Source organism: Homo sapiens, chromosome 20, assembly GCF_000001405.40.
Source record: "Homo sapiens chromosome 20, GRCh38.p14 Primary Assembly".
Classification (NCBI taxonomy): Eukaryota; Metazoa; Chordata; class Mammalia; order Primates; family Hominidae; genus Homo; species Homo sapiens.
The window spans coordinates 44617219-44628243 of record NC_000020.11 but is presented as its reverse complement, the minus strand read 5'-3'; the positions used below and the strand labels follow the sequence as shown (position 1 = coordinate 44628243).

At 53.4% G+C, this 11025-nt stretch overlaps 2 protein-coding genes across 15 annotated transcripts in view, besides 1 other annotated feature; one reads left to right on the top strand and one right to left on the bottom strand.

Annotated features, from left to right (window-relative positions):
- The window catches only part of ADA (adenosine deaminase), a 32178-nt gene extending 23456 nt beyond the window's left edge, over positions 1–8722 (top strand). Inside the window, exons 4-12 of one of the 4 annotated variants that reach the window (NM_000022.4) lie at positions 1645–1788; positions 2560–2675; positions 3915–4042; positions 5166–5237; positions 5314–5415; positions 5592–5656; positions 7097–7226; positions 7843–7945; positions 8397–8722. In NM_000022.4, coding sequence (NP_000013.2) covers positions 1645–1788; positions 2560–2675; positions 3915–4042; positions 5166–5237; positions 5314–5415; positions 5592–5656; positions 7097–7226; positions 7843–7945; positions 8397–8410 — 874 coding nt within the window. In that variant the 3' untranslated portion in view covers positions 8411–8722. The remainder of the gene's footprint in view (positions 1–1644; positions 1789–2559; positions 2676–3914; positions 4043–5165; positions 5238–5313; positions 5416–5591; positions 5657–7096; positions 7227–7842; positions 7946–8396) is intronic. The other 3 variants (NR_136160.2, NM_001322050.2, NM_001322051.2) reach the window with 3 other exon arrangements.
- PKIG (cAMP-dependent protein kinase inhibitor gamma) overlaps positions 9207–11025 on the bottom strand; it is an 87163-nt gene continuing 85344 nt past the window's right edge. For all 11 annotated transcript variants that reach the window (NM_181805.3, NM_001281444.2, NM_181804.3 and 8 more), the window contains one exon: positions 9207–9959. In NM_181805.3, the coding sequence (NP_861521.1) occupies positions 9880–9959 (80 nt within the window). In that variant the 3' untranslated portion in view covers positions 9207–9879. The remainder of the gene's footprint in view (positions 9960–11025) is intronic.
- Positions 9743–10470: an enhancer, noted in NCBI's record as "OCT4-NANOG-H3K4me1 hESC enhancer chr20:43246415-43247142 (GRCh37/hg19 assembly coordinates)". NCBI's record gives its function as "activates a minimal SCP1, AML or CMV promoter by ChIP-STARR-seq in naive and primed H9 embryonic stem cells {active_cell/tissue: H9 hESC(naive and primed)}" and the evidence as "EXISTENCE:reporter gene assay evidence [ECO:0000049][PMID:30033119]".

Here is an 11025-nt window from a genome sequence, read left to right as displayed (position 1 = left end):
CTCCATCCTCATCCTGAAGATGCAAGAACTTCTGGTGACCCCTTCTCCTGAGAGTGGCCTGATCTCCCCTGGGCAGGGCACTTTCTTCCCACGCTGGGCTCTCCCAGCACTTGTGTGCCTTCCCTCACACATTCTAGTAACCACTTCATTTTCACTCTTCATGGTGGGAACTTCCAGCTAAGCACAGTCCACCGTTACGTGATCAACACAGTGGCCCTGGCAGGCCAATTTGTGCCTTGCTTCTGGAACAAACATGCAGTAATAACAACGAAAATGTTTTGAGCATTTGTCCGCTCTGCTCCAAGCACTGACCCGGGTGGGGTTTATGAAGTTTGACTCATTTGTCCCCGCAATAACTCCTTGACCTAGGTGTCAGAGGGTGACTAACCAGGGGTCACACAGCAGATAAGTGTGGGCACAAGGATCCAAGTCCATGACTGTATCCCACGTGTCTCCCACATCCAGGCATCCCTCTGGACTTGTCCAGCTGTGTCCTTTTCTCTCATTTCTCTTCCCTGCCAGCCTTAACTCCATCACCAACAAATATTGGGCTACTCTGTCCTAGGCATGGTCCTCAGCTGAGAGGTCGCAGCCATCCCAAGACAGAGGGGTCCTTGCCACATGGAGACTGCATTCTAGTAGGGAATACAGCAAACTGGCTGATAAGCCATATGACACACAATGTTGAGTAGTGATAAGGACCTGGGAGAAAAAGAAAGCCCAGGAGAATGGTGGAGGGGCCGTTTTAAGATAAGGCGGTCTGGGCCAGGTACAGTGGCTCACGCCTGTATCCCCAGCACTTTGGGAGGCTGAGGTGGGCGGATCATGAGGTCAGGAGATCGAGACCATCCTGGCTAACACAGCGAAACGCTGTCTCTACTAAAAATACAAAAAATTAGCCGGGCGTGGTGGCATGCGCCTGTAATCCCAGCTACTTGGGAGGCTGAGGCAGACGAATCACTTGAACCCAGGAGGCAGAGGCTGCAGTGAGCTGAGATGGCGCCACTGCACTCCAGCCTGGGCGACAGAGCAAGATTCTGTCTCAAAAAAAAAAAAAAAAGATAAGGTGGTCAGGGAAGGCCTCTCTGAGGAGGTGAAGCTTCAGCTGGCTCTAAACCAGGGGAGCGGGAGAGACGCAGTGTAGGACAGTATCGGGGAAGAGCAGGCCTGTGTCTTCTCCGGTGGCCTCAGGGAATGAGGGAGAAGGAAGGTGCTGGGGAGGCTGGCAAGGCCTGGAGGATGCAGGCCTTGTGGGCAGGACCTGGGAGTTGCGATGTCACTCTCCGTGGCAGGAAGCTACTGGGGCTTCGAGGGGAGAAGTGATATGCTTTGATTTACCTTCTTAAAAGATTGCCCCAACTGCTGGGTGGAGAACAGGATGACAGGGGCAAGCATGGAGACAGGGAGGCCAGTTAGAGATGGCGTGATTCAGGCCAGGATGGAGGGGTGAGAACTGGTATGCAGTTCCAAAGTAGAGCTGATAGGACTTGCCCAGTGTCTGGGATCTTATCCAGTGGATGCCCAGAGCTTGGGTCTGGGGGATGAAGTGGGTTTAATCTGCCAAGGGTTGGGGATGTCATTTGCTCCTGGAGCTCCCAAGGGACTTGGGGAAGGTTGTTCCCAACCCCTTTCTTCCCTTCCCAGGGGCTGCCGGGAGGCTATCAAAAGGATCGCCTATGAGTTTGTAGAGATGAAGGCCAAAGAGGGCGTGGTGTATGTGGAGGTGCGGTACAGTCCGCACCTGCTGGCCAACTCCAAAGTGGAGCCAATCCCCTGGAACCAGGCTGAGTGAGTGATGGGCCTGGAAGGGGCCATGCTGAGGGTGTGGCTGGGAGGCTCAGCTCTGAGACTGGAAGGGCGAACTGCTGGGAATCCCTGACCCAAGCAAGACCTTGTTCTTGCCCCCAGTCTGGTCCATGGCCTCAGAAAGATGGGTTTAACTCTGTCACAAGAGACGTGGTTCCCATCCTCCCTTTGCCGTTATGTTCTTACCTTGGGCACAAGTGTTTGGCTGTGTCTTGCTCTGGCCACAGGCCTGCTGTCCAGGAATGTTAACCTGCTTAGCCACCCAGGATTTCTGAGGGGTCTCCCTTGTCACTGATGCTGATCAGATCTCTAAAGGCCCTAAAGGTCCTGCTCTAACTTCATAACTGAAGTGAGTCTGGCCCATTTCTAGCCCCCTGCCTGGGCCCCCATGGATCTCTAAGTGGTATCACAAAACCACCCTGCCCCATTTTCTGAGCCATGATTCTGATACATATAGAATGTGAACATCATGGCAGGCCCAAGCTTAGCAATGCTGTCCATCTGGGGGTGGGGAGGGCCATGTTGACACCCCACACCTCCCACTAAGATCTAGGAGCACCCAGCTGCTTTAAGAGCTAGAGGGACATGCTAGGGCCTGGGGGCATCTCTGCCAGTCTTTCCTCTGAGGCAGTGGGTCAGTGGGGGAGGAGGGTCCTCCCCAAAGCCTCCTCTTCCTCCTCTGTCCCAGTCCCAGAGCTGCCCTTTAGGCCTTCCTTTTGCCTCAGGCCCATCCCTACTCCTCTCCTCACACAGAGGGGACCTCACCCCAGACGAGGTGGTGGCCCTAGTGGGCCAGGGCCTGCAGGAGGGGGAGCGAGACTTCGGGGTCAAGGCCCGGTCCATCCTGTGCTGCATGCGCCACCAGCCCAGTGAGTAGGATCACCGCCCTGCCCAGGGCCGCCCGTCTCACCCTGGCCCTGACCTCCTGGCCTAGCAGTGGGGCTGTACCTGATCTCCCCTGTGCCCCACAGCCCCATGGTGTCCCCTTGAGCCCACTGGCATGAACTTGGGGCTTCATGAAACAACTGGAGACCTCCTAGGCAGGCTCAGAACTTCTGGAGATGTTCTCCCCAGGGACACCATGCCTTTATAGCCACCCTGCAGGAAGCTCAACACCAAATAGGAACGTAACTATTGAAAAAAAAATCTAGGCTAGATTCTGATCAGCCCATAGTCCTCCCTCGAGACCCAGTGGACCAGGCCCCATCCTGTCTGGGCCTGAATAGGTCTGATTTCCAAGATTTCTGAGGGGTCTCCCTTGTCACTGACGCAGATCAGATCTCTAGAGTTTGTGCCTCATGGTGCACAGCCTCACTGTGTGATATTGGGCAGGTCACACTGCTGCTCTGGTTATGCACCAAGACACCTCAGTTGTGCACTGTCACAAGGAGATGATCACACTTACTTCATTCCTCTACCCTCAGGATTAGTAAGAACCAAAGAGCTACCTGCACGCATTTCCTCTAATCCTCGCAGCAGCCTGCAAAGCAGAACTACCATTGCTTAGTCCCATTTGACAGATGAGGAAACTGAGGTGGAGTGAGGTGCAGCCTCTTGCAAGGCACAAACCCTGGATTTGTATCCGGGGACATCTAGTTCCAAAGCCTGTGTTCATTCATTCTTTCTTAAACACTTCAGAATAACTTTATTGGTTAAGAGTACCTAATACATTAGCGAGATACTTCCCAATACTAGTGTGAGTTCTATTTTAGATGACGTGTTAAACGGTCCTCCGTTTCCTCATCTGCGCATGGGAATAAGCCTACCATGAGTGTTGTTGGAAACACCAGGTGAGAGAAGGGTCCGTGTCATTTACTGAGCTCAGGCCCCGTCCTTGGTGCTTTACACACATGGCCTCGGCAAAGCCTGGCCGTGACCCTGTGCAATAGCTGGCAGGGTTCTTTCTGAAAAGGGCGGAAACTGAGGCCATAAGCAGAGCAGTTTTCCGCAGGCCATGTGGTTAGGACATAGCAGTTAGGATTTGAAGACACTGAGCCCTGTTTTGTGCTGGCCTCCCATGGGGGGTTTGGGTGGGACAGCAGGCAGGTAGGCTGGGAGGTCTCTCCATGGTGCTGGTGACAGAGCCTGGGTGGGCATCTCGCCCACAGACTGGTCCCCCAAGGTGGTGGAGCTGTGTAAGAAGTACCAGCAGCAGACCGTGGTAGCCATTGACCTGGCTGGAGATGAGACCATCCCAGGAAGCAGCCTCTTGCCTGGACATGTCCAGGCCTACCAGGTGGGTCCTGTGAGAAGGAATGGAGAGGCTGGCCCTGGGTGAGCTTGTCTCCCACCCATAGTTGGGAGAAATCACAAGAACCAGGGACCATGGTGTCTCCTGAGTTCTGAAGTGTGTCTTTGTTGGGTCTTAAGGCTTGGAACTGGAATCCCCCTGGGCCAGGCGTGGTGGTTCATGCCTGTGATCCCAGCACTTTGGGAGGCGAGGCAGGAGGATTGCTTGAGCCTAGGAGTTTGAGACCAGCCAGGGCAACATAGTGAGATCCATCTCTGCAAATACAAAAAAAAGTAGTCAGGCATGGTGGTGCATGCCTGTAGTCCCAGCTACTTGGGAGGCTGAGGTGGGAGAATTGCTTGAGTCCAGGAAGTCAAAGCTGCAGTGAGCTGTGATAATGCGACTGCACTCCAGCCTGGGTGACAGAGGGAGACCCTGTCTCAAAAAAAAAAAAAAGGAAGAAAGAAGAAAGAGAAAAGAAAGAGAAAGAAAGAGAGGAAGGAAGGAAAAAGAGGAAGGGAGGGAGGGAGGAAGGAAGGAAAGAAGGAAGGAAGGGAGAGAGAAAGAAAAGCCTCCACTTGGTGTTGGGAGTCCTGTGCTGAGCCTGCTTCTGGCTGTGATTTGCTGTGTGAACCTGGGCAACACTGTGTCTTCTCTGGGCCTCTGTTTCTTCTATTGGGATGACTGAGTTGGAGCCGACATCTCAAAAGTCGCTTCCAGCGTGATGATGAATGGGCCTCCTGTGGAGGGTGCAGCATGGTGGAGAAGTCAGGGCTCTGGAGTCCCACTGCCCGGGCTCAGAGCTTGGTTCCACACTTCCTGTCTGACCTTGGTCACATTACTTGAATCTCCTGAGCTTCAGTCCTTCATCATAAAATGGGTGGGATAATAGTTGTGAATATTAGATAATGTATACAAGTCACTTCATATACTACCTGACACATGGTAACTGGCTAATGAGTGACAGCTACCACTTAGATAAGGACTTGGAGGGTAAAAGACCAGGTTTCCCCATGCTGTTGAAGCAGGCAGCATGACTAGGATGGTTCAATCTCCACAGCATGGTCAAGGCAGGGCCTGCCGGGGCCCTCCCGCTAGGGCACCCATGACCTGGCTCTCCCCCTTCCAGGAGGCTGTGAAGAGCGGCATTCACCGTACTGTCCACGCCGGGGAGGTGGGCTCGGCCGAAGTAGTAAAAGAGGTGAGGGCCTGGGCTGGCCATGGGGTCCCTCCTCACTGCCTCCTCCCATACTTGGCTCTATTCTGCTTCTCTACAGGCTGTGGACATACTCAAGACAGAGCGGCTGGGACACGGCTACCACACCCTGGAAGACCAGGCCCTTTATAACAGGCTGCGGCAGGAAAACATGCACTTCGAGGTAAGCGGGCCAGGGAGTGGGGAGGAACCATCCCCGGCTGTCCCAACTTCCTGTATAGAGAGGCAGAAAGCAGGGCGGGTCCCAGGAACTCGAGGGGTGGCCCCAGGCCCAGACATGGGGGGAGGAATCAGCATGGCCTGGGGCCATCCCTGCCAGCCACACACCTGCTCTTCCAGATCTGCCCCTGGTCCAGCTACCTCACTGGTGCCTGGAAGCCGGACACGGAGCATGCAGTCATTCGGTGAGCTCTGTTCCCCTGGGCCTGTTCAATTTTGTTCCAGGAAGGCCAAAGAGGGAAGAAACTTTAGGGATTGGGCATCAGCCCATGCCGCGTCTTTTAGATATGAAATCTCTTCGACACCCTGGGAAGCAGGCATTGCCGTCCTCATCTTACAAATGAGGAATCCGAGGCCCAGATGTGCTGTGGCTTGACTGGGATTACCCAGCTGCTAACCAGCAGAGCTGGGGCCCTACAGCTCATCAGCTGGAGCAGAACGCTCCATTACTCTGAGGGAAGCTTCCACACTTCCAATTCTCCCAACTCTGCCCCCTGGGCATCGCATAGGAAGCAGGAGTCCCTCTGGCCAGCATGTTCTCTCTTCCTGACACCTGGCCCTTGGGACCCCTGGGCATTCCCCTGAGCGCCATCTTGAAGCTTTCCACCGGAGGGTCTGTTCCACCCTGCCTGGCTCCCATCCTGGAGTCTAACCAGGGTCAAGGCCCTCCTTCCGTCCTGTCGCCAAGCCACAGGAGCAGTATCAGGCCTTAGGAAAAAGCCGCCTTCCCCAAGACAAGGACAGCAAGAACTCAGGGTGACCATGGTCAGGCCAGCACTTATCCATCTGCCAGGCATATGAGAAGGGGAGGGGCTTCGGCTCTGATGTTCTGATGACAAGGGGGTCTTGGGGCTTGCCTTAGGGACACGTGGCACCTGTGGAGGTTCTTGGAGGCATGTGGGTATACCATGGGCTGGAAAAAGATCCAGGAGTCATCTGCACAGATATGGTGGCTGAAGGAGAAGCAGTGGCCCCAGGAGGTGGTGGAGCAAGAAGGGCCTAGGATAGAACCCAGAAGGACAATGGTATTTAAGGGACCAGCAAAAGAGACAAGTAGGAGGAAAGTCAAAAGTGTGGTGTCACAGAAATCCAGGGAAAAGGTTTCAAGAAACAGTCAACAGTGTGAAATTCTGCTATGCAAGTCGATTATGGTCAGAGCTAGGAAAGATCCATTAGATACAACAAGATGGTGGTCAGGGATCGTGCCAAGAACAGCTTCCATGGTATGTTGGAGTAGCCAGCTCCCAGTGGGACTGAGGAACAAGCAGGGTAGGGTGCAGAGGGGAAGGCTGGAGAGGGTGGCAGCCGGAGGGGGATGTTGCTTTCTTGGCTCCCACCCCCACGCCCCCACCGGCTGCCATTCTGCCTGGTTCCCATGTCTGGCCCCTCTGCTGCCTTTGCCCAGCTCTGGTCTTCAGGATGGGCTGGATTCTGGACTTTCTGGTTACATAGACTTGAACAAGTCACCTAAGTTCTGAATTTATTTCCCCCTCTGCACAAGGATCAGATCTTTCAGATCTGTTTGAGGCTGCTGTGAGGATCAAAGGCGGGTGAACGTCAATGTGTTCTGACTATTTATGTAAGAGTAAAAGGAGGCTGATTCTCTCCTCCTCCCTCTTCTGCAGGCTCAAAAATGACCAGGCTAACTACTCGCTCAACACAGATGACCCGCTCATCTTCAAGTCCACCCTGGACACTGATTACCAGATGACCAAACGGGACATGGGCTTTACTGAAGAGGAGTTTAAAAGGCTGGTGAGTGGGTGTGAGCCATACTGGCCTTGACTCGGGTTTGGGAGTATGGTATCTACAGGTCCAGTCCGGGGCCTGGAATCTTTGGAGAGAGGGAGTGAGTCTGCCTCAACAGTCCAAGACAAGCCCAACCTAGACACTTTCCACAGAGAAGACATCTTTGTGTTGACGTCCTGACCTAGGACCAGGTTTTTGATCCTTTGCTTGGGTTGAGTGCCTTTAAAGAATCCAGTGAAAGCTGTCAACCCTCTCCCCAGAAAGGTGTGTGCAGCAGCTATGAAGTCTTGCACACTCTCTTCAGGTTGTTCTTAAATCCCAGGCTGAATAAGTCCATTCCTGCACGTGTCTGCGAGGTGTCTCTGGCCCCCTACATGCCACCCTGTCTCTCAAAGGTTTCTCCAACTTCCTTCTCACAGCCCTTTTTCATGTAATGACAAATTAAGAACACGACCTCATGGTCTCTACTCTGGCACTTGCTGCCGTGTGACAGTGGACAAATCCTTCCCCCTCTAAGCGTATCTGCCCATGTTGAGTGAAGAGGATGGACTATCACTACATTGCTAAGAGCTGCCTTCTTTGTTCTCTGGTTCCATGTTGTCTGCCATTCTGGCCTTTCCAGAACATCAATGCGGCCAAATCTAGTTTCCTCCCAGAAGATGAAAAGAGGGAGCTTCTCGACCTGCTCTATAAAGCCTATGGGATGCCACCTTCAGCCTCTGCAGGTAGGTTCCTGTCTGGGCTTCTGGGCAGTTGCCCTGTCCTGGCCCCAGTGTGGCTTTCTGTGGGACTTCTAGCAAGATGCCCTTCCATTCTTGGGCAGCGCCATGAATGTGTGATGACTCCCTGGTTTCTGGGCCCTGGCTGGGAGCAGCGTCTCATTAGATCGGTTTGTTTTCTATAAAAGTTCTTGAGAGGCTGTTCTAAGGGGAGACTTTCTGAAGCCCAGTCCCAAAGGTCTGGGCAGTTGGGGACACCTCCATGGCTGCCCAAAGCCAAGGGCAGGGAGAGGGGCCCAGGCCTGTTCTGCTCCTTTCTTCCTATGTGGTCTTGGCAAGGCATCTTCTTGCCATCATAGGAAGGAGTTCCTTTCTGGTTCTGGTGTTCTATGATTTTTACAACATCCTGGGTACTACAAGTTGCCTGATCTTTTTGCTTCTCTGAACCAACGAGCAGGGCAGAACCTCTGAAGACGCCACTCCTCCAAGCCTTCACCCTGTGGAGTCACCCCAACTCTGTGGGGCTGAGCAACATTTTTACATTTATTCCTTCCAAGAAGACCATGATCTCAATAGTCAGTTACTGATGCTCCTGAACCCTATGTGTCCATTTCTGCACACACGTATACCTCGGCATGGCCGCGTCACTTCTCTGATTATGTGCCCTGGCCAGGGACCAGCGCCCTTGCACATGGGCATGGTTGAATCTGAAACCCTCCTTCTGTGGCAACTTGTACTGAAAATCTGGTGCTCAATAAAGAAGCCCATGGCTGGTGGCATGCAGCAGGTGGCATGTAATTTGGTGGTCTTGGGCGGGCCGATGTGGGCAGGATGAGCATGGAGGGAGCTGGGTCAGCCTGCTCAGCAGCAGGGCCTGAGCCTAAGGGTGGCTGTGAATGCCAGGCCAGAGATCCCAATGCTGTGGGCCAAGAGGGGTCCAGAGGCTGTCCTCCTTCCAGAAGAAATAAGGCTTCTCTGGTTGTTGCTCAAACATTCCCTGAACTCTCAGCCCCTCCTAACTCTAGGTTTTAAGGAGTAAAGCTTCCTTTTGGGTTCCTGAAGCTGGCAGTTGGGGTGAGAGCAGATGAGATGGAAGAGGGCTCATCAGACACTGGCCTTGGAGGGTGCTGGCCTCTGCAGAACGCCAGCATCTTCTCAGAATCGTATGTTCTAGAAGCCTGGGGCAAGTCCGGCTAATTGTGGACTTGGGGAAAATAAGGCCCAACCCCTGTTTTTGCAAGGTTAAGGAGAAATAATCTTAAACCAGTCACACAAATCATCGGCATTTATTTCCTGGGTCCTAGGTGTCACTTATCCTGGTGGACAGGGCAGAGGTGGTCAGATCGTTTTGAGCCAAAATCCCTTCCCTAAAAATGGATCTGTGGAGCTCCATGAGGGAACCTCAGAGATGCACAATGACAGTTTAGCTAAAATGGCTTAAAAAATGTGAATTGATTGTCAGCTCTCTCCATATCTGCTGAAAAAAGGTTTAAAATTTTTAAAAAGTTTAAAAGTGTTTTCTAAAAAAGGGACAAGCAGGTCTGGACCCAGAAGATTGGGCTGGAGAGGAGGTGTTGGTGTTGGGACAGGGTCCCTGCCCGGGCCGCTCGCGAGAGGAGCGTTCCTGTGTGGGCTGCTCACTGTAGGGCAGGCCCCGCCCAAGTCCCGGCGCCAGCTCAATAAATAACATCTTGTGGTTACAGTGTCTTGAAAGTGTACCTGGGCACGGTGCGAAGGTGGTGGGAATGTGAAGCCTGTGGGTGTGGGCAGAGGGCTTTCCCGGAGTGGAGGCCACAGAGGCCTCTGGGGAGCCTTCTCAGTCTGGCCTGGTTTATCTGGGACATGGAGCTCAGAGAAGAGGCTGCTGGGCCAGTGCCAGGGTTCCCCCTCTGGGAGGGGACAGAAGGTCTCTCGTCCAGCCTTCTTGGACAAGGTCAGATTCAAGACGAGGTGGTCCCATCGCTGCTCTGGGGCTGGTTGCCAGCTTCCTTGTCTGGGGCGCTTCCCTCCACCTGTCCTTCTGGAGAGGAGAGAAAGAGGTTTTTCTTGGGCACATATACACAAAGTAATGCACAGAAGGAGGTGTGAAAGGGCCCAGCCAAACTGATAGCAGTGGATATGCCCTGGGGAGCAAGACGAGCTGGAGCTGGACTGAGGTGGTGGTGGCCTATGGACTTTAGCCTGGTCTGTAACATCTTTTTACATGGAAATACACATAGTGTTTGTTAGTATAATTAAGAGTCAATTAAGGGCCATTATGGATGGGTGCTTAAAGCATCAAGTGAAGGGCTCTTGAAGGTTGCTTTGTTTGTGCAGGTTCCCCAGAGGGAGAGGCCAGATGTTAAGTCCCCAGTGTGTCACAGGTGCTCAGCAAATGGCAGCTGTTCTGTTTGTTTGTTTTTTTTTTAATTTTTGTATTTTTAGTAGAGACGGGGTTTCACCATGTTGGCCAGACTGGTCTCAAACTCCTGACCTCAGGTGATCTGCCTGCCTCAGCCTCCCAAAGTGCTGGGATTATAGGTGTGAGCCACCGTGCCCGGCCAATGTTCTTCTAAGAGAGTAAAGAGCACTGAACCAGGCCAGCTCAGGGAGCGCCAGGGTGTGGCCTGCATCAGAGTCTGTGGGGGCCAACCGTGCATCATGGGGTGTGTGTTGTACCTCCTTCTCAAATCCATCCTGTCAGACATCTTGGTGGGGTGAGGGGCAGCAGCAGGCTCACAGAGATGGAGCACCTCACTGAGGGGAGTCAGGATACAAGCCAAGTCTCCTCACTTTCAGCTTCCCTTGAGCCCCCCTGTGCAAGGTGGGACAGGCAGCTCCTGCCACCCACTGGACCAGCAGTGCAGGTTGAGGGGAGTGCCAAACTCACACCCAGGCCCCAGTCTCCATGCTTTCCTCCTCAGGCTGCATGATAAACAGGTGTCTTTTCATAAGGTGCACCACGTGGGGCCTGGCATGTGGGCAGAGCTCAATAGGTGGTACATTCTTAAACCCCAGTGACACTGTGCAATGTTACTAGGTGCCCTACAAGCTCACTGAGGGCCTGAGTTCAAATCCAGCCCAACCAGACCACACCTTTTTATCCT